Here is a 20,029-nt window from a genome sequence, read left to right as displayed (position 1 = left end):
TACTACTCAAAGCCATCTATAGATTCAGTGCAACCCCTAGAAGCAGATAACCTGCAGCATCTCCCCTCTCTCCATTCTGGAGGGCTCCACAGAGCAAAAGGGTGTAAGATGCATTTGTCTTAATGATGGCTATGGAGAGATGGTTTGTAGAGAAAAATGAACTGAAAATCAAAACATTTGGGATCAGAGTGTACCTCCACATGACTGTGTGTCACCTTTGGCCAAGACTTCTTTGTGGTTTCAGTTTCACTACAGGTAAAGGCACCAAATCTTTGAACTAGAAAGTTCTAAATTTCCCTTTAAAGCGATCTTCCTATGGGTTTGAGCACTATCAGACAGATAGGTCCTCTGGGATCAGATGGGTTTTGTGCACACTTTCCCTTATTTATTTATTTTAAGAGACAGGGTCTTGCTCTGTCACCGCGGCTGGAGTACCGCGGTGTGATCTTGGCTCACTGCAGCCTCAATCTCTCTGGCTCAAGAGATCCTCCCACCTCAGCCTTCAGAGCAGCTGGGACTAGAGGCACGCACCACCACGCCCAGCTAATTTTAAAATATTTTCTGTAGAGGCGAGGTCTTGCTGTGTTACCCAGGCTGGTGTTGAACTCCTGGGTTCAAGTGATCCTCCCACCACCGCCTCCCAGAGTGCTGGGATTACAGGTGCGAGCCCCCCGCACCCAGCCTCCACCACTCTCGTATTCTGTATCTTATTCCCCTAGGCGCCTCCAGCCTGGGATTGCGCCTCTGGGATTCAAACCAGGACTCAAGTATCTGAGGTTCTTCCTTAATCTCCAGATGTCCCAGCAGTCCCCTTTCTCTGACAAAGTCTCCCTTTTCACGCGGGATCCTTTCCACCCCCAGCTCCAGCTCCCCGCAGTGACTCCGTGGGGTTAGCAGCCTTTGTCAGGCCTCAAATGGGCGCCTGGGTAGGACAGGGAGCCAGGTGGGACTCGCAAGGCCGCTCTGCTCCGGGAAGTGGTGCAGGCGCGCGCCCTGGTGGAAAACGGCGGAGCTGCAGGCTCCGTTCCGGCTCCGACCCCGAGGCCGAAGGCCTTCCAGGTCACCTGAGAGTCTCCGCCCAATGGGGCGGCCCTGGCCAGAAGCGGAGGAGGTGGCACCCGGGACCGAGCTGGGGTCTTGGAGGAAGAGAGGGTGAGGGGAATACAGTACTGGGGGTGAGAGAAGGGTTGGACAGAAGAGGGTCGGGTATCTGGGCATGCGCAGGGCCGCAGGACTCTTGGTGGGGTAGCGAGGGGGACGGTCCCACGACTGCTCCGAAGGGCCGGGACTCCCAGTGGGGGCGGGACCCCCGGAGTGCCCGCCTGCGGACTCCCAAGCCTGGAGCCTGGGGAGAGGGTGGGCACCTCCGTTCCCGCACACCCGTCCATGGTGTGTGCGCCGAGCGTCCAGGAGCCACGGCGGTGTCTTCCTTGCGCGTCTTTTACACGTGTGGGGGTAGGCTGCTCCTCGGGGCTGAGCCGTGGCCAGGGTTATGGAGAGGCCCGCCTCTCCCCAGATGGCGTCGTCGAGCCCTGACTCCCCATGTTCCTGCGACTGCTTTGTCTCCGTGCCCCCGGCCTCAGCCATCCCGGCTGTGATCTTTGCCAAGAACTCGGACCGACCCCGGGACGAGGTGCAGGAGGTGGTGTTTGTCCCCGCAGGCACTCACACTCCTGGGAGCCGGCTCCAGGTGGGTTAGACTTTATGGGGTGCTGGGAGGTGTGGCAGATCTCTGCATTCTTTTAAGACCTTCTTCCCTGCTCCCCACACCTGGGAGGCTGCCAGAAGTAGTGGAAGAGCATGAGCTTTAGGTCTACCAACCTGGACCTGAGCTCATTATGTAGCCTCAGTCTACCTCAGTTTCCTCTTCTGTAAAATGGGAATGAGACCTTCCTCAAAGGGATCTATAAGGTAATTGGCAGAGTGCCACACTCGAGGGGCCGCCCCTCTATGAGTGGACGCTTCCTTTCTCCTCCCTCACCTCCAGTGCACCTACATTGAAGTGGAACAGGTGTCGAAGACGCACGCTGTGATTCTGAGCCGTCCTTCTTGGCTATGGGGGGCTGAGATGGGCGCCAACGAGCATGGTGTCTGCATTGGCAACGAGGCTGTGTGGACGAAGGAGCCAGTTGGGGAGGGGGAAGCCCTGCTGGGCATGGACCTACTCAGGTGCAGACCCTGCCCTTCCTCATCTGCCTGACACACCAGAAATCTAGGGGCTGAGTTTTGACCTGGGCCCATCCATCCCTCCCCCAGCCTGGTTCACAGGGGCCTCCTCCTCTCTGCAGACTTTGCCCTTGTGCCTTCGTGAAGAAGGCTGCAGCAGCAGCCACCTTTGGGCCTCTCCTGGCCCAGAAATAGAGCAGTGGTTATTTATTTATTTTCAGTTGAAATCTTACATAGAGTCCCAATTTATAAAACCAGTAATAGTGGATGGAGCAGCTCTGGGTGGAGAGAGGTTAGGGGCTCAGGACACTTCTCTCTCTGAAACTGTGTTTCAGGCCTTTTCATGGAACCCTCAAAGCATAGCACATGGAACCAGAGCATTGAAAGCCACTGGCATAATTGCATTTGATACGATCAGTGCCAGCAGATTTGCTGTGTGACTTGGGCCTATCACCAAACCTCTCCGGGCCTCTTCTGTCCCCTGGAGCTTCTGCCACCAGCCATTGATCCCTCTGTCACCCTTCTGTCCCTTGGCCCTCTCTTTTGCCAGGCTGGCTTTGGAACGGAGCAGCTCTGCCCAGGAGGCCTTGCATGTGATCACAGGGTTACTGGAGCACTATGGGCAGGGGGGCAACTGCCTGGAGGATGCTGCGCCATTCTCCTACCATAGCACCTTCCTGCTGGCTGACCGCACTGAGGCGTGGGTGCTGGAGACAGCTGGGAGGCTCTGGGCTGCACAGAGGATCCAGGGTGAGGTGTTCCCTTTCTCCCAGCTTTGGGAAGTGGGAGAGATGGTAGGGGCAGGGAGGGGCCCGATCCAGGTGCAAGCCTGTCAGGACATCCAGGGAGATGGGAGATGAGCCCACTTGGGAATTCTCCTCCCCTTCACTTGGTTAAGTCTTCCGTGTGCTACAGCCTGTTGCTTCCTCTGGGAAGCCTTCCTGGACTTCCCTGGGTGGTCAGGTTTCCTGCTTATATGCAAGCAGGTACTTCTTTTTCATCGCATTCAACACAGTTGCATGCTTACATTTATCTCTGTGATTATTTTGTCTGCCTCCCCCACCAAAACGTAGGCTCCATGAGGGTAGGTAGTTCTCTTCTCCACCATGTTCTCAGCACCTCGCCCAGTGCCTGGCATAGAATAGATGCTCAATGGTAAATGAACCACTCCCCGATCTCCTCCACAGAGGGGGCCCGCAACATCTCCAACCAGCTGAGCATTGGCACGGACATCTCGGCCCAACACCCGGAGCTGCGGACTCATGCCCAGGCCAAGGGCTGGTGGGATGGGCAGGGTGCCTTTGACTTTGCTCAGATCTTCTCCCTGACCCAGCAGCCTGTGCGCATGGAGGCTGCCAAGGCCCGCTTCCAGGCAGGGCGGGAGCTGCTGCGGCAACGGCAAGGTTAGTGAACGGTGGAGGGGGCTGGGGGCCAGGAGGGCCACAGCAGTGCCAGCCACTCTCCCCTCCCACAGCTTCCCCCTCTACTCCTTGGCAGGGGGCATCACGGCAGAGGTGATGATGGGCATCCTCAGAGACAAGGAGAGTGGTATCTGTATGGACTCGGGAGGCTTTCGCACCACGGCCAGCATGGTGTCTGTCCTGCCCCAGGATCCCACGCAGCCCTGCGTGCACTTTCTTACCGCCACGCCAGACCCATCCAGGTGGGAAGAATGAGGGTGGGGAAGGCTGGGGAGAAGAGAGGATCTGATATATCTCCGTGCTTCCATCTGTGCCCCTCTAGGTCTGTGTTCAAACCTTTCATCTTCGGGATGGGGGTGGCCCAGGCCCCCCAGGTGCTGTCCCCCACTTTTGGAGCACAAGACCCTGTTCGGACCCTGCCCCGATTCCAGACTCAGGTAGATCGTCGGCATACCCTCTACCGTGGACACCAGGCAGCCCTGGGGCTGATGGAGAGAGATCAGGTATCCCCCAGGGAGTAGGGGCTACCTTGAGGGGATGATAGACCTCCCCCACTCCCAGTGGGACTCTGGAAATATGAAGGAACTAGGGAGTGGAAGAGATTTCAGAGCTGGGGAGAGGAGTTCCTCCCTTCAAAGCCAGCAACTGCCTTTGGGGAATGTCGGGGGGTATCTCCTTTCTCCTGCTTGTGTGAGGTGGTACACAGTCCCCCCTTCACCTGGCGGGAAGCCTGTCCCGGACAGACTCATCTCAGCTTTCCCTTGGGGCAGGATCGGGGGCAGCAGCTCCAGCAGAAACAGCAGGATCTGGAGCAGGAAGGCCTCGAGGCCACACAGGGGCTGCTGGCCGGCGAGTGGGCCCCACCCCTCTGGGAGCTGGGCAGCCTCTTCCAGGCCTTCGTGAAGAGGGAGAGCCAGGCTTATGCGTAAGCTTCATAGCTTCTGCTGGCCTGGGGTGGACCCAGGACCCCTGGGGCCTGGGTGCCCTGAGTGGTGGTAAAGTGGAGCAATCCCTTCACGCTCCTTGGCCATGTTCTGAGCGGCCAGCTTGGCCTTTGCCTTAATAAATGTGCTTTATTTTCTCTTCAGTGAACTTTATCCCAGGACCAGTGGGGGTGGGAGAGCCAAGTGAGGCCCAAAGGCAGCTGTGGGCTGGCTGCGGGGCCTGTGGTTGTGTACTCATTCCTATGAGTGGGTGAGTGATGGGGACTGGGCAGGAGGACAGGGAGGGGACAGGAGCTGGCTGCTGTTGGGGATGACTAGGACCACAGCTCCTTGGTCCTTGGCTTGGACCGGGGAAGGGCACTCGCTAGGGGTGGCAGTGAGATGGCATGCCTCTTCCATGAGGTGGTGCCCGCTTCCTGCCCAAGTGGGAGCCAGGAAGCCAGCGGGGGCCTGAGGCATGCCTGCCCTGTGGGTAGCTCCCGAAAGATTCCAGACTCGCTCTTTAGAATCAGGTGGCTCACTGAGCTCTGTATTTTGTTTCCTGGAGCTTTCACTGGTTTCTTCCCCTGAGATACCCCAAGTGACATGAAAAGCATACTCAGGGCCTAGAGACACTTTACTGGGGATGGGCTTCTGTCACAGGTCAGAGGTCTGAGAAGAGGGGCAGGCCCCACTCCTCTCCACTAGTAGAGAAAGGTTGACAGAGAATCATTTCTTGCTTCTCTTGGCCGTAGTTTTGGTTGTGCTGGGGGCCTCAGCCACAGAGGCCTTGGGGGCTGTGGCTGCTCGTGCCCCCTTCCTTCCCCAGAAAGAGCTTTGGTGGCCCCTGGGAATCAGACTGCATGGTTTCTTGGTGGGAGAGGAGGCCTGGGGTGAGGAGACGGCCTCAGGGACTGTCTCCTCCCCTTGCGCAGGAGTGGCAGAAGGGCTGCTGTCCCCAGCCATGGGCACCCCAGGTAGCAGGGGCAGGTCGGTGAGGGTGGGCTGCATCTCCATCCTCAGCAGGTGCTCTGTCAGGGCCGTCTGTTGCCGGTGCTCCCTGTGCCTGCTCAGCTCCTGCTCCAGCTCCTTGAGGAAGCCTGGGAGGGGCCGGGGGTGGAGGGTACAGGGTGGGTGGAGCCCTGGGCTCAGCAGGAGGGTCCCTGGGCTCAGGGAAGTCTCTGGCTGGCCCCTTGTCCCTTGTGGGAAGGAGCCTGAGGCTGGGGCCCAGGACTGACACCTGGCTCTGGCCCAGATGTTGATCTGAACTTGGGGCTCCCCTCCCCGGACGCCACTGCCACCTTAGCTTCCCTCATGTCCCACAGGGCAGAGGTGGGCTCTGGGGAGGCTGAAAACCTTGGAAAGCAGGGTCACCTCGTTCTGAGCAGAATGGGCCACTCAGCTCTGGGAACTCCTCATCGCTTGAGGCTTCATCCTCCTCATCCGAAATCCAGCGCTCCACCACAGGCTGCCCGTCCAGGTCCAGGAGAAGTGGCAGGGCTTCTGTCACCAGCTCGCTGCAGAGCAGAAGGAGCAGAGGTTACCCAGGAGGGCACCCTGGCGTGGAGGATGCAAAGACACGCACCACAGCACTCACACCCGGAGGGGTGGTGGCTCATGAGCTAGGTAGGAGGTGGGGGAGAAGGTGTCATGGACAGGACCCCAGGTTTGCAGGCTGAGAGGGGTCTGGGCTGAGTTAGCAGGTAGAGCTCAGCCATGACCTTTCTTCCCACCCTCCACTCCTTACCGGTAGCCATCCTGGTTGGTGCAGCTGTTTCCAGACAGGTTGAGGATGAGAAGGCTCTGGGGGAACTCATCTGCACACAGCAAAGAGAGAGGAAATGGGGTTCTCACTTGATCTTAGCCAAAAGACCATGAAGCGATGGGAATGGGGTTCTCATACCCACTTTCTAGTCCAAAGCCAGTACCTCTAGGCACAACCCCTTGAACTCCCTGAGGATGAAATGTGGACCTGCAGGGGCATGGCTAATAGAAGCATGGGCAGATGGGTGCAGAGGGGAGGGCAGGCCCCACAGGGGATGTGTTTGGTGAGCCAGGGCGAGTGGGTTCCTACCCAGCTTCAATGTTTCTATCAGGTTCTCAGAAAGGTCCAGAAACTGGAGGCATGGGAGGTCGAGGAGGTTTTCCACCTGCCTGATTTGGTTTCCTGCCAGAGACAGGAAGCTGTAGGGGAAGGAAGGGGTACAGAGGCAGAGCTGAATCATGGAACAGCTGGAAGAAAAGAGGAGGGCACCTGACACCGGGGCCCCTGGGCTAGGCAGCTGATGACCAGTGGGGACACATGGCCTTCTGGGGTGAGGGAGTAGATCTAGGCTTGCTGGTCCTTGACTGACAAGGACCCAGGCTTGGAGAAATCTGAACCAGTTCTTTGGGATATGGCTAGGTTCCCCCAACCCCTCTTCCCCTGCCTGAGCCCTGGCACCACATACCGCAAGGAGGGGATGCAAGCCAGGTTCTCAATTTGCTGGATCTTATTCTGCAAGAAGAAACCGAAGTGGGGAAACCAAGCTGAGATCAGATGCGTCAGGGGCCCTTTACGGGGACAAAGCCCCAAGACCATGTCTACTCTGCAGCTGGAGATCTGGCACTTTGGGAATGATCACCCCACTCCTTGAACAGGTTGCCACTACCTTAAGAAAGATGATTTTCTTTCCCCATGTGGATGGTTAAGGGTGTAAACCTGGGGTATCTAAACCTGACTACGTATACTCTTCTGATTCCACAACCAAAGAGTGACCTGGGAATCAGAAAAGGAAACTAAGAAGCCACCAGGAAAACGGAAAGGGCCTTGGTGGTGGCTTGCATACACAGAGAGAACAATGAGCATACAGGAACTTGACGGTTAAAGTTTCTATGGGGAAAGTTGAAGCGAGCTGGGAATACTCAACCAGGGGAAGGCTGAAGATCAACCAACCACCACCACCACCACCAAACAGCCTTCAAGTAGGATCTGAATGATGTACAGGAATCTTCATAGTTTCCTCTTCTTCAAAACAGGAAATGGGCTGGAGCTATTTAACGTGAAAGATTTAGAGTAGATGCCAAAAAGAACTTCTAGATCAAGAGAAGTGCCTAAAGAACAGTGGAAGGAGCACAGGTCATGTTCAGGATCTATTTTGAGGGAATTAGTTTTTCAATTCAGGACCCTATGTCATTCGTCTGGGAATGGTTTAAATGAAGGTCTGCCTGCCTGAACACCAGGGAATGGGCAGGATGACCTGGTTGGCTCCTTTCAGATGAGACAGATTAGGTCCACAGGGGTCAAGGGGAGGGGAAGGGTGGAGAAAGAAGTTACCCCTTGCAGATAGAGACTGTGAAGATTCTGGAGGCCTTCTAAGTTCCTGATAGTAGTAATCCCCTCCCGGTCCAGGCGGACAGTCTGCAGTTCATCAAGAGTGTGAAACCTGGGAAAAGAGTCAGTAAGGGTGGTGTTAGAGCACCACTCATGTGGTCTCTTAGCAGGGAGGATGGGAGACGGAGGAGGGAAGGGGTTTCAAGGAGGGGTAGTTGGCTGAGTCATTTTAATCAGATGTGAGAAACATCTTGACATCTTGAGGTGGTGTCTAGATCATGAAACCGGCTTGACTTGCAGACTCGTATCTCTATTGTTAGCACTGGGAAGGGTGAGAGAGAGGAGTAAGGGCCCTCTGGGAAATTGGGGGATGGCAGCTTATGGTTTCTGGAGAGATTCAGAGGCAAGAGAAACCTTCCTCTGGCCAGCTTGGATGGTGGAGGCAGGGGTGGGACAGAGATGAGACACTGCAGAAAGATCCTTCCTCACCTTCCTTTTGAGTCGTTCATGGAGAAAAAAGCACTTGTTCCATCCACCCATTCATTCATTCCACAACATTGCTGAGTGCCTACTAGAGACAAATGACAGAGTCTCTGCCCACCACTAATAAAGAAGCAGGGCAGGCTGACCATGGTGGCTTACCCTGTACTCCCAGCACTTTGGGAGGCCGAGGCAGGAGGATCGCTCGAGCCCAGGAGGTCGAGGCTGCAGTGTGCCATGATTATGCCACTGCACTTCAGCCTGGGTGACAGAGCAAGACCCTATGTCATAAAAAAAAAAAAAAAAGAGGCTGGGCGAGGTGGCTCACTGTAATCCCAGCACTTTGGGAGGTCGAGGTGGGTGGATTGCCTGAGGTCAGGAGTTCAAGACCAGCCTGGCTAACATGGTGAAACCCCATCTCTACTAAAAATACAAAAAAAATTAGCCGGGTGTGGTGGCGCACACCTGTAGTCCCAGCTACTCGGGAGGCTGAGGCTGGAGAATCGCTTCAACTCAGGAGGCAGACGTTGCAGTGAGCCGAGATCACACCATTGCACTCCAGCCTGCGCAACAGAGTGAGACTCCGTCTCAAAAAAAAAAAAAAAAAATAGGAAGAAGGCCAAACATCTATGACAAGTGGATAACAGAGGCAAGTACAGGGGAAAGGAAGAAGGAGGAGGAAGAAGGGAAAGAAGGAGGAAGAGGAAGAAGAAAGAAAGAAAGAAAGAATAAGGCCAAACATCCCTGACAAGTGGATAACAGAAGCAAGTACAGGGGACAAAGGGAGTACATAGGCTGTGCACTAAATTCACAGTAGGAGGAATCAGGGAATGCTTCCTAGAGGAGGTGACAGATGAGTAGGCATTAGCCATGAAGGTGGGGGGATATGGGGAGAAGGCATTTCAAGCAGAAGGAATAGTACATGCTAATACAGCCCTTCCGAAACTCCAATATGCCCATGCAGATTCTAATTCAGTAGATCGGGTGGAGGGGCTGAGATGCTCCACTTCTAACAAGCCCCCTGTGATGCCAATGCTGCTGTCCTACCCCTGCACCCCCTCCCATCCACACATACTCTGAGTAGTAAGGTACTAAGGTGTGAGTACACAGTGTGGGAAATTGTACACTTGTGGAGAGTGGCCAGAAATAAGGCTGAAAAGCAGAAGTCAACTCATGCTTAGGCATTGGGATTTATTTGGGAGGAAGTTTCTATCAGTGAATGCCTGATTAGATTTGTTATTTAAAAGGATCACTTTGGCTACTCAGGAGGCTGAAGTGGGAGGATTGTTTGAGGAGTTCAAGACCAGTCTGGCCAACAGAGCAAGACCCCATCTCTAAAAAAGTAATTAAAAATACTTTACTTTTTGTTTGTTTTAGAAATAGGGTCTCACCCTGTTGCCCAGGCTGGCATGCAATGGCATGATCATAGCTTACTGCAGCCACAGGTACCTGGGTTCAAGTGATCCTCCTGTCTCAGCCACCTAGGACTACAGGTGTGCACCACCATGCTCAGCTAGTTTATTTTTATTTTTTAGAGATAGGATTCTGTCTCTATTGCCCAGGCTGGTCTCAAACTCCTGGGCTCAAGTGATCCTCCTGCCTCAGCCTCCCAAAGTGGTGGGTGTGTAGGAGAGAGGTGAACACGGCCTTATCTAAGACAGTTGAGTGAGGATGGTGAAAAAGAAATGGAATTATTTTGAAGAAGGGAAAATCAGCTGGGCATTACCACTGATTGAATGTGTGGAGTAAGGAGAGAAACAAAGATCAGTTGACAAATCAGTACACGTCAGGGACCTGGTCATCCTGAGTGTTTCAGCCTTCTAGCACCCCTTTTCTCCCCCATGCACTCACATCTTCTCTGACAGTTCCCCATCTTCAGGGAAAGTCAAGTTCCGCTTAGTGATAAGGGCTTCAGTGATGCAGACGCCCCCTTCCTCTGGACCCTGGGCTGACTTCCCTGTGAAAAGATGAGTCCAACTGTGACACTTCCTCACTCTTGGAGGCCTTACCCCGCTGTTTTCCAACTGCTCTACCCACCGTCCCACCTCCCTACTCACCTCCAGACATGATCTAAAATAAAAGGCTGCTGGTCTGAGGCGGGAGAGGAACGAAAAGAGAGGTCTTGGCGGCCCCTAAGGATGGCAGAACTCAGGATGGCAGGAGGAGAGAGAAACTCAGAGACTTAGGAGAGGAGGAAAGGGGGTTGATTCAGAGAAAATTGCTGGGGTGAGGTCGAAGAAAACAGTAAATTGATGTGAAGGGTCTGGAGTTTGAGGGGTGTGGAGGGGCTTTGCTGGCAGCAAGCTGGGGTGTTGTGGGCAGGAATGGTTGAGAAAGGAGCAGTTCCTAGGAAGCCGGAGTCGTTGCTAAGAGACTGGACGCCGAGTGGGGAGGTAAAGGCGGGCTCCGTTGGCCCGGCCTAGCGCATGCGTCTTACGGCTACAGCCGGCGGGTACGCCCACTGCTTCCGGCCCCGGGGTTCGCTACCCCACAATCCTTAGCTCTTTCCGTCTCCACTCGGCTTCCGTCCATTCTTCCGGTGGAGATGGCTGCGGCCGTGGCGGGGATGCTGCGAGGGGGTCTCCTGCCCCAGGCGGGTAAGGAGTGGCCCAGGTCCTCACGGCGTGTCTTGCGGCCGCTCTCTAGTCCTCATCTGCCCTCCTCTACTACTGATTCTTCCCATAATCTCTGACCCCAGCTAGATCGCTGGCCTCCTTACCCCGTCCAGTTCCTTGTGACTCGACTGGTAATCACAGCAACAACGTCCAGATGTTGTCTGTCTCCAGCGTTTCTTTTGCCTGGACCACTCCTCGCCCAGACCTTTGCATTATGTCTCCATCTTAATGTGTCAGTCTAAATGTCACCTCAGGTCTTCCCTTGACTCCTTAGCCCCGTCGCAATCTGTAATTTTGCATTTGTTTAGTTGCTTGTTTCCTCTATTAAACTCCGCAAGGGCAGAACCATGTTCATTCAGCATAGCCAGCAGGTGGCATGGTGCTGGATGTTAGTAAGCGTGCGGTAGATATTTGTTTAGTGAATGGATTTGAGCACTTAATATAGGCCAGGCACTGTGATAACTATTTTTATATGTGTTAGCTCATTTAAATCTTTTAAATCATTTAAATCTAAAGCACCCTGTGAGAAAGACATTCGCATCTCCTCTTTACAGACGCAGCAACTGAAGTTCAGACCAGTTGGGTGGCCAAGGTCACAGCTAGTAATTGGCGGAAGAGAGATTAAAATCCAGTTTCGGCTGGGCGCGGTGGCTCACGCTTGTAATCCCAGCACTTTGGGAGGCTGAGGCGGAGGGAACACCTGAGGTCAAGAATTTGAGACCAGCTTGGCCAACATGGCGAAACCCCAACTCTACTAAAAATACAAAAATGAGCCGGGTGTGGTGGCGCGTGCCTGTAGTCCCCGCTACTCAGGAGGCTGAGGCGTGAGAATCGCTTACACCCAGGAGGCAGAGGTTGCAGTGGGCCGAGATCGCATTGCTGCACTCCAGCCTGGGCAACAGAGCGAGACTCCATCTCAAAAAAAAAAAAAATCCAGTTTAATTTGATTCCAAAGCCTGCCTGCAGTCTTAACAGTTAGGTTTTGTGGCTGCTGGCAATAAGACCTCTTACCCCAGCAAATATCCATACTCTCTGACTGTTAGAGCCGCCTTCTATCTGGACCTTTTTCTGAGGTCACATCCCAGTCTTGGAAATGACTGAAAGTGGGAAGTTCTAGTCTTGGCCCTTGTGTTGAGGATTAAGTGGTCACTTTGTCTCAGGGCTTTTGAGTGCCTCCCTTGTTTTCTGTGGGGTGCTCTGTAGCATTATCTGTAAACAGGAAGAGAGGAGGAAAGAGAAACTTGTCTGAGAGCTGTGAGAATGGTGTAACATTTTTTTCTCCTCTTCAAATCATAGGACAGGGTGTCAGAGCAGCGGTTAGAGTGGTGGTTTTCAAACTTTAGCATGCGTCAGCATCACCAGGAGGGCTTGTTAGAACACTATTTGTGACCCGTCTTGGTAACATAGTGAAACCTGGTCTCTACAAAACAAAACAAACAAAAAACACTATTTGCTAGGCTCCACCCCAGAATTGCTGATTCAGTAGGTCTAGGCAGGGCCTGAGAATTTATGTTTATTTTTCTTTCTTTCTTTCTTTTTTTTTTTTTGAGACAGTCTTGCTCTGTCACCCAGGCCGGAGTGCCGGAGTGCAATGGCACAATCTCGGCTCACTGCAACCTCTGCCTCTTGGGTTCAAGCAATTCTCATGGCTCAGCCACCTGAGTAGCTGGGACTACAGGTGTGTGCCACCACGCCTGGCTAATTTTTGTAGTTTAGTTAGAGACGGGGTTTCACCATGTTGGCCAGGTTGGTCTTGAATTCCTGACCTCAAGTGAGCTGCCCACCTTGGCCTCCCAAAGTGTTGGGATTACAGGCGTGAGCCACCACACCCAGCAAAATTTCTAACAAGCTCTCAAATGATGCTGATGTTGCTGGTTGGGGTGGAGGTGGGGCATACCTTGAGAGCCACTAGATTAGACCAGGGGTTGGCGTATTATGGCAGGGCCAGTCACTGTGTTTTATAAAATTCTATTGGTACATAGTTTCTGCTGTCTCTTTAAATATTGTCTGTGGCTGCTTTTGGCAGAGTTGAGCATTAGAGACAGATTACATGGGCCCCAAACTTAAAATATTTACTGTTTGACCATTTTAAGAAAAAGTTTATTTAACCTTATCCCCTTTTTCTTTCTCTCTCTCTCTCTCTCTTTCCTTCCTTCCTTCCTTCCTTCTTTTTTTTTCTGAGACGGAGTCTTACTCTGTGCCCAGGCTAGAGTGCAGTGGCATGATCTCGGCTCACTGCAACCTCCACCTCCCGGGTTCAAGCGATTCTCCTGCCTCAGCCTCTCAAGTAGCTGGGATTACAGGTATACACCACCACACCTGGCTAATTTTTGTATTTTTAGTAGAGATGGGGTTTCACTGTGTTGGCCAGGCTGGTCTCAAACTCCTGACCTCAAGTGATCTCGCCCGCTTCGGCCTACCAAAGTGCTGGAATTACAGGTGTCAGCCACCACACTCAGCCCCCACTTTTCTTAATGTGTTCAAAATATTTTCTCCTTTGTTCTCATTTTTTTCTCACATTTCTGCACATTGAGAAGAGCTAGAGAAATGGTAGCCTCAAGAGATTAAGTAATTGACCTCGGGTCACTTACTGAAAGAGAAGCTTTGGAAATTCAGGACTTTTGTCAGACAATTCCTTGTCCCACTCTTGTGTTGAGTCTAGCTCTGTGAGCTGTGCTTTTCTCTGCTAGAGGGTGTGTTTTTTCTCCATTTGGGATAAACTAGGGCCTCCAGGAGGTTGCCTCTAACCATGTTGCTATATGCCCTCCCAGGCCGGCTGCCTACCCTCCAGACTGTCCGCTATGGCTCCAAGGCTGTTACCCGCCACCGTCGTGTGATGCACTTTCAGCGGCAGAAGCTGATGGCTGTGACTGAATATATCCCCCCGAAACCAGCCATCCACCCATCATGCCTGCCATCTCCTCCCAGCCCCCCACAGGAGGTAAGGAGGAATTTGGGTACATGTCACTTGGTGGTGGGATGGTGGATTAAAGTAATCTTGTCTCTGGCCATAGTGAAGTAGGACACTCAGCCATTGTCATGCACGTCATTATTTCAGTTTGACTGCCTGATCCAGATATTTTAAGATGAAATCCGCACTTGATTCTGTATTGGCTTTTGGGCTCTGGATTGGGTGGGCCTCCTGAATTTCCTTCTTGTCTCCAAAAATGTGTGTGTGAGAGCTACCCTAGCAGGTGGGGCTGGGGAGAGTATCTCTCCAATCTTTTTTTTTTTTTTTGAGATGGAGTATCGCTCTTGTTGCCCAAGCTGGAGTACAATGGCGCGATCTTGGCTCACTGCAGCCTCTGCCTCCCAGGTTCAAGTGATTCTCCTGCCTCAGCCTCCTGAGTAGCTGGGATTACAGGCATGTACCACCATGCCTGACTAATTTTTGCATCTTTAGTAGAGACAGGGTGTCACCATGTTAGCCAGGATGGTCTTGATCTCCTGACCTCGTGATCTGCCTGCCTCGGCCTCCCAAAGTGCTGGGATTGCAGGCATGAGCCACCCTGCCTGGCCATTTTTTTTTTTTTTTTTTTTTTTTTTTGTGAGACAGAGTCTCTGTCACCCAGGTTGGTGTGCAGTGGGACACTCTTGGCTCATCGCAACCTCTGCCTCCTGGGTTCAAGCGATTCTCTGCCTCAGCCTCCTGAGTAACTGGGATTATAGGCACATGCCACCATGCTCAGCTAATTTTTTGTATTTTTAGTAGAGATGGGGTTTCGCTATGTTGGTCAGGCTGGTCTCGAACTCCTGACCTCAAGCAATCCACCTGCCTTGGCCTCCCGAAGTGCTGGGATTATAGGCATGAGCCACCGCGCCCAGCCAAGTTTCTCAATTTTAAACTAACACTGCAAAAGAGTTATATTTATGATTGGCAAAATAATTCAACATGAGTACAGTGTCAGATTGATAATTGAAATAATTTTAGCAATATTATTGTCAAGCACTGTTGACTAGGGCAGACTGCAGGCCTGTTTTCGGGGGAGTGGATCTGAGCATCCTCAGGTTTGAAAAACACTGCTAAAGACTGCAATTATCTAATGAAAGTGAAAAGGTTAGAGTAGTGGGAGATGTTACATGTCTCTGAGAGTCAGAGGCCCAGTTATCCTACTTGTTCCCCGATCTTTTGCACATCTGGACATCACTGGAAGCCCTAGAACCTACCACAGAGGGAGCAACGTTGCCAGGAGAAGTGGCAGCTGATGTACCCTTGGTCATTGCTTTCCAACTTCAGGAGATAGGCCTCATCAGGCTTCTCCGCCGGGAGATAGCAGCAGTTTTCCAGGACAACCGAATGATAGCCGTCTGCCAGAATGTGGCTCTGAGTGCAGAGGACAAGCTTCTTATGCGACACCAGCTGCGGAAACACAAGATCCTGATGAAGGTCTTCCCCAACCAGGTAGGGAGCAGGCCCCTTGGCATGGGTTGCCCATCTTCCCCCCACCCCCACCAGACTCAGACCTCACCATCTGCTCCCCAGTGATGATACTTCTTACTCCTCCTCTCCATGAGTCACCCTCTAATCTGGTGTCTAACCTATGATTAGGGGCTGAGAAGACCCTTGGGTTGCACCCTCAGCCTAATGTGGCCCATGACCCACGAGGTAGCTCTTCCTCCCACTTGTCCCCGATAAGCCATTTTTCCCTGCTGTTCCCAGGTCCTGAAGCCCTTCCTGGAGGATTCCAAGTACCAAAATCTGCTGCCCCTTTTTGTGGGGCACAACATGCTGCTGGTCAGTGAAGAGCCCAAGGTCAAGGAGATGGTACGGATCTTAAGGACTGTGCCATTCCTGCCGCTGCTAGGTGAGCAAGCACCCCTGCCAGTTAGGGGTGGGGTGAAGAGGGGCCTGCTGCCATCTGCTAGGCTTGTCTTGGTAAAACCGTGAACGTTCTTGGAGAGAGCATCCTTTCACGGATGGAGCCTGAGTAAACAGCACATTTATTGAGGGCCGACTGTCACTCCCACACCTGTGTTGTCTCACTACCCCAGGTCACTTCTGCACTGGAGGGAAGACTAGGAAAGGCAGACATGGAGCAGGGAGAGAAAATTTAGATACCTTGAGTCTAACAGTGGGGTAGTAGGTGCTGAAACCCTCACAGATGAAGATATTTAATACAAGTAGCCCAAGTAAAGGGTGCCGAGGGCCAGTGACCAGTGTTTCCCAGACTCCCCTGATGCTGACTCACTTAAGGGGCAGAGAATACTGCACATGTCCTTGGAAATCCAGATTTCACAGGTCTCTGTAGGGAGGGGGCGGGACAGGAATCTGATTTTTTTTTTTTTTTTTTTTTTGAGATGGAGTCTCACTCTATCACCTAGGCTGGAGTGCGGTGGCACAGTCTCAGCTCACTGCAACCTCTGTCTCCTGGGTTCAAGCAATTCTCCTGCCTCAGCCTCCTGAGTAGCTGGGATTACAGGCACCTGCCACCACGCCCAGCTAATTTTTTTTTTTTCGTATTTTTAGTAGAGATGGGGTTTCACCGTGTTGGCCAGGCTGGTCTTGAACTCCTGACCTCAGGTGATCCGCCACCTCAGCCTCCCAAAGTGCTGGGGTTACAGGCATGAGCCACCGCTCCTGGTGAATCTGTGATTTTAATACCCCCTCAACACTCCATGATATTTATTCAATTTTTTAATTGTAAAATACACACAAAATTTACCATCTTAACCATTTTAAATGTACAGTTCCGTGTTAAGTACATTCATAATGCTATGCAACATCACCACCATCCATCTCCAGAACGTTTTGTCTTCTAACAGTGAAACTCTACACCCATTAAACAATAGTTCCCCGTTACTTCCCTCCATTCCATGATTCAGGGTCTCACTCCCATTGCCCAGGCTGGAGTGCAGTGGTCCGGTCATGGCTCACAGCAGCCTGGACCTCCTTGGCTTAATCCATCCTCCCACCTTAACTTCCTAAGTAGCTGGGACTACAGGCGCATGCCACCATGTCCAGCTAATTTTTGTATTTTTTGTATTTGTATTCACCATGTTGCCCAGGCTTGTCTTGAACTGCTAGTTTCAAGCAATTATGCCACCTTGGCCTCCTGAAGTGTTGGGATTACAGGCGTTTTCCACTGCACCCAGCCTGATTCTTTGTTTTTTTGAGACGGAGTTTCGCAGTTGTTGCCCAGGCTGGAGTGCAATGGCGTGATCTCAGCTCACTGCAACCTCCGCCTCCCAGGTTTAAGCGATTCTCTTGCCTCAGCCTCCCAAGTAGCTGGGATTACAGGTGCTTGCCACCATGCCTGGCTAATTTTTGTATTTTTAGTAGAAACGGGGTTTCACCATGTTGGCCAGGTTGATCTCAAACTCCTGACCTCAGGTGATCCACCGACCTTGGTCTCCCAAAGTGCTGGGATTACAGGCTTGAGCCACCGTACCCAACCTCATCCTGATTCTTTTTTTTTTTTTTTTTTTTGAGACGAAGTTTTGCTCTTGTCACCCAGGCTGGAGTGCAATGGCACGATCTCAGCTTACTGTAACCTCTACCTCCCGGGTTCAAACGATTCTCCTGCCTCAGCCTCCCGAGTGGCTTGGATTACAGGCGCTCGCCACCATGCCTGGCTAATTTTTGTATTTTTAGTAGAGACGGGGTTTCTCCATGTTGGCCAGGCTGGTCTTGAACTCCTGACCTCAGGTGATCTGCCTGCCTCAGCCTCCCAAAGTGCTGGGATTACAGGCATGAGCCACCACACCTGGCTGCCTGATTCTTATTTACAAGGAAGTTTAGGAAACACTGACTTAATAGGGGTCAGGGCCAGGTGGATATATTAAGAGTTTTCTGAGGGAAGAGTGAAGAAGTAGGGATCGATCCCAAGCAGAGTGGGTGTGGTGTGGGGCACAGTGGAACCCAGGTCCTGGGGAAGGCAGGATTTTGAGAAGGGCAATGGAGAGCAAGTTACTAGGGTCAGAATATTGTTTTCAGAGAAGAAAGGCAATCTGCAAGGAGCCTAACTGACCCTGTGTTCTTCCAGGTGGCTGCATTGATGACACCATCCTCAGCAGGCAGGGCTTTATCAACTACTCCAAGCTCCCCAGCCTGCCCCTGGTGCAGGGGGAGCTTGTAGGAGGCCTCACCTGCCTCACAGCCCAGACCCACTCCCTGCTCCAGCACCAGCCCCTCCAGCTGACCACCCTGTTGGACCAGTACATCAGAGAGCAACGCGAGAAGGATTCTGTCATGTCGGCCAATGGGAAGCCAGATCCTGACACTGTTCCGGACTCGTAGCCAGCCTGTTTAGCCAGCCCTGCGCATAAATACACTCTGCGTTATTGGCTGTGCTCTCCTCAATGGGACATGTGGAAGAACTTGGGGTCGGGGAGTGTGTTTGTCACTTGGTTTTCACTAGTAATGATATTGTCAGGTATAGGGCCACTTGGAGATGCAGAGGATTCCATTTCAGATGTCAGTCACCGGCTTCGTCCTTAGTTTTCCCAACTTGGGACGTGATAGGAGCAAAGTCTCTCCATTCTCCAGGTCCAAGGCAGAGATCCTGAAAAGATAGGGCTATTGTCCCCTGCCTCCTTGGTCACTGCCTCTTGCTGCACGGGCTCCTGAGCCCACCCCCTTGGGGCACAACCTGCCACTGCCACAGTAGCTCAACCAAGCAGTTGTGCTGAGAATGGCACCTGGTGAGAGCCTGCTGTGTGCCAGGCTTTGTGCTGAGTGCTGTACATGTATTAGTTCCTTTACTGCTGACCACATTGTACCCATTTCACAGAGAAGGAGCAGAGAAATTAAGTGGCTTGCTCAAGGTCATGCAGTTAGTAAGTGGCAGAACAGGGACTTGAACCAAGCCCTCTGCTCTGAAGACCGCGTCCTGAATTTCTTCACTAGAGCTTCCTCATCAGGTTACCCAGAAGTGGGTCCCATCCACCATCCAGGTGTGCTTGGATGTTAGTTCTCCACCCTCGAGGTGTACGCTGTGAAAAGTTTGGGAGCACTGCTTTATAATAAAATGAAATATATTCTACTTCCTTTATTTTGTGGTTTACACGGTTGTCCTCCCTCTAAACTTACTCTCAGGGGCTTCTCTGTCATCTGACTTTCCTCACTCTTGCTTCCCTTCCTAGGAAAATCCTCTTCCCCTATACCTGTTCCCACAAATGGCATCCCGCGCATGCTTGCCCTATTAAAGGCAGCTGACAGCTGTACCCACTAGCTAACGTGTCTCTGGTGGTTCTGGACAAAAGGCCTGCGGGAAAACTAGGATTCTCTATTAATGGGGAATTCTGAGAGCTCTAGGGTAGGAGGCCTCATGCAAGTCTTCATGAACCAGAAATTCCTAATAAAGGAGACGGGATGCTTAACTCAGAGTCCACCATCATCCTTGACTGGAGCACATTCTGGGTGGATGCAGGGGTGACCCGGGGAAGGTGGCTGTTCAACATTCCTTCTCGGACTTGAAGCAATGCCACCGCTTCCTTAGTCTTGGACAGGCACTGTCTGGCAGGGATGACCTGCAGCAGCTCTTTTGTGGCCTGGGCCAGGACCAGCTTCCCCCAGTGCCTCATCCTGTGCTGTATGCCCAGGGATGTTCAATCACTGGGAAGTGGCTTAAAAGGCCCTTGAGGCTCCTGGATGCCAGAGCTTGTCTGGTCAGTGCTGCCCAGTGCTCCTGTCCCTCCCAGAACCCTGCCAGGTGCTAACAACACCCTCCTCCTGGGGTGGCTGGAGCAGCACTGAGGCTCTGAATAAAGGCAAGACAGTGGGTGTTCCCGAGAGATATGTGAGACCCTGAAACGTAAACCAAGCTCGGTGAGGATGAAGTGGAAGGGATAAGTGGCCCATGTCACTTTTGGGGTCAGAGAAGAAACTTGAATCACATCCTTCACCTGAGGCCCCACCTACTTCTTTCCAGAAAACTTAGCTGCGCTTGAAACTGTAGGTCTATGCCACATTCATTTGAATGAATTTTAGATCTTTGTTAAGAGCCGATTTTTCATTAGAATTGAGCAGCTGGGCACAGTACTCCAGCAGAAGGGTAAAGGGAAGGGAGGGGACCAGCATTGCAGCCCTTTTAACGGCAGCTGTGACTGCCCCAGGCCTGCTCCTGATCAGAGACTGCAGGCTGTGGGGTGTCTTCATACACACAAGCACTT

General features: G+C 52.5%; 3 protein-coding genes across 10 annotated transcripts, besides 8 other annotated features; 2 read left to right on the top strand and 1 right to left on the bottom strand.

The window, feature by feature from the left end:
* Nucleotides 1,060–1,615: an enhancer, noted in NCBI's record as "H3K4me1 hESC enhancer chr17:45918111-45918666 (GRCh37/hg19 assembly coordinates)". NCBI's record gives its function as "activates a minimal SCP1, AML or CMV promoter by ChIP-STARR-seq in naive H9 embryonic stem cells {active_cell/tissue: H9 hESC(naive)}" and the evidence as "EXISTENCE:reporter gene assay evidence [ECO:0000049][PMID:30033119]".
* Nucleotides 1,060–1,618: a biological region, named in NCBI's record as "H3K4me1 hESC enhancer GRCh37_chr17:45918111-45918666".
* Nucleotides 1,087–4,668, top strand: SCRN2 (secernin 2). Of its 5 annotated transcripts, none has more exons than XM_017025286.2 (8): nucleotides 1,087–1,152; nucleotides 1,517–1,690; nucleotides 1,988–2,169; nucleotides 2,717–2,916; nucleotides 3,354–3,569; nucleotides 3,664–3,829; nucleotides 3,910–4,024; nucleotides 4,358–4,668. In XM_017025286.2, the coding sequence occupies exons 2-8, from the start codon at nucleotides 1,517–1,519 to the stop codon at nucleotides 4,514–4,516; spliced, it is 1,212 nt and encodes a 403-aa protein (XP_016880775.1). In that variant the 5' UTR covers nucleotides 1,087–1,152; the 3' UTR covers nucleotides 4,517–4,668. The 5 variants fall into 5 exon arrangements, with proteins under 5 accessions (XP_016880775.1, NP_612364.2, XP_047292965.1 ...); NM_138355.4 differs by having other exon boundaries at nucleotides 3,910–4,090; XM_047437009.1 differs by having other exon boundaries at nucleotides 1,087–1,175.
* Nucleotides 1,519–1,618: an enhancer, noted in NCBI's record as "active region_12318". NCBI's record gives its function as "activates an Ori minimal core promoter by ATAC-STARR-seq in GM12878 lymphoblastoid cells {active_cell/tissue: GM12878}" and the evidence as "EXISTENCE:reporter gene assay evidence [ECO:0000049][PMID:35858748]".
* Nucleotides 4,641–10,690, bottom strand: LRRC46 (leucine rich repeat containing 46). The gene is made up of 8 exons (NM_033413.4): nucleotides 10,361–10,690; nucleotides 10,155–10,260; nucleotides 7,827–7,935; nucleotides 6,961–7,007; nucleotides 6,585–6,694; nucleotides 6,258–6,327; nucleotides 5,885–6,027; nucleotides 4,641–5,610 (listed from the first exon to the last, which is right to left on the bottom strand). Exons 1-8 carry the CDS (start codon nucleotides 10,368–10,370, stop codon nucleotides 5,240–5,242), a joined length of 966 nt encoding a protein of 321 aa, NP_219481.1. The 5' UTR covers nucleotides 10,371–10,690; the 3' UTR covers nucleotides 4,641–5,239.
* Nucleotides 5,078–5,625: an enhancer, noted in NCBI's record as "H3K4me1 hESC enhancer chr17:45914101-45914648 (GRCh37/hg19 assembly coordinates)". NCBI's record gives its function as "activates a minimal SCP1, AML or CMV promoter by ChIP-STARR-seq in naive H9 embryonic stem cells {active_cell/tissue: H9 hESC(naive)}" and the evidence as "EXISTENCE:reporter gene assay evidence [ECO:0000049][PMID:30033119]".
* Nucleotides 10,576–11,405: an enhancer, noted in NCBI's record as "H3K27ac-H3K4me1 hESC enhancer chr17:45908321-45909150 (GRCh37/hg19 assembly coordinates)". NCBI's record gives its function as "activates a minimal SCP1, AML or CMV promoter by ChIP-STARR-seq in naive H9 embryonic stem cells {active_cell/tissue: H9 hESC(naive)}" and the evidence as "EXISTENCE:reporter gene assay evidence [ECO:0000049][PMID:30033119]".
* Nucleotides 10,654–10,813: a silencer, noted in NCBI's record as "silent region_8642". NCBI's record gives its function as "represses an Ori minimal core promoter by ATAC-STARR-seq in GM12878 lymphoblastoid cells {active_cell/tissue: GM12878}" and the evidence as "EXISTENCE:reporter gene assay evidence [ECO:0000049][PMID:35858748]".
* Nucleotides 10,819–19,088, top strand: MRPL10 (mitochondrial ribosomal protein L10). Of its 4 annotated transcripts, none has more exons than NM_148887.3 (6): nucleotides 10,819–10,900; nucleotides 13,124–13,221; nucleotides 13,690–13,859; nucleotides 15,156–15,320; nucleotides 15,579–15,723; nucleotides 17,902–19,088. In NM_148887.3, the coding sequence occupies exons 2-6, from the start codon at nucleotides 13,140–13,142 to the stop codon at nucleotides 18,153–18,155; spliced, it is 816 nt and encodes a 271-aa protein (NP_683685.1). In that variant the 5' UTR covers nucleotides 10,819–10,900; nucleotides 13,124–13,139; the 3' UTR covers nucleotides 18,156–19,088. The 4 variants fall into 4 exon arrangements, 3 of the variants coding, with proteins under 3 accessions (NP_683685.1, XP_024306343.1, NP_660298.2); XM_024450575.2 differs by having other exon boundaries at nucleotides 10,819–11,049; nucleotides 13,101–13,221; NR_037575.2 differs by lacking the exon at nucleotides 13,124–13,221 and having other exon boundaries at nucleotides 10,819–11,049.
* Nucleotides 11,054–11,113: a silencer, noted in NCBI's record as "silent region_8641". NCBI's record gives its function as "represses an Ori minimal core promoter by ATAC-STARR-seq in GM12878 lymphoblastoid cells {active_cell/tissue: GM12878}" and the evidence as "EXISTENCE:reporter gene assay evidence [ECO:0000049][PMID:35858748]".
* Nucleotides 11,406–12,237: an enhancer, noted in NCBI's record as "H3K27ac-H3K4me1 hESC enhancer chr17:45907489-45908320 (GRCh37/hg19 assembly coordinates)". NCBI's record gives its function as "activates a minimal SCP1, AML or CMV promoter by ChIP-STARR-seq in naive H9 embryonic stem cells {active_cell/tissue: H9 hESC(naive)}" and the evidence as "EXISTENCE:reporter gene assay evidence [ECO:0000049][PMID:30033119]".

Source organism: Homo sapiens, chromosome 17 (assembly GCF_000001405.40).
Source record: "Homo sapiens chromosome 17, GRCh38.p14 Primary Assembly".
NCBI classification, from domain to species: domain Eukaryota; kingdom Metazoa; phylum Chordata; class Mammalia; order Primates; family Hominidae; genus Homo; species Homo sapiens.
The sequence above is the reverse complement of the archived record's forward strand: the minus strand, read 5'-3'. Positions and strand labels throughout refer to the sequence as shown.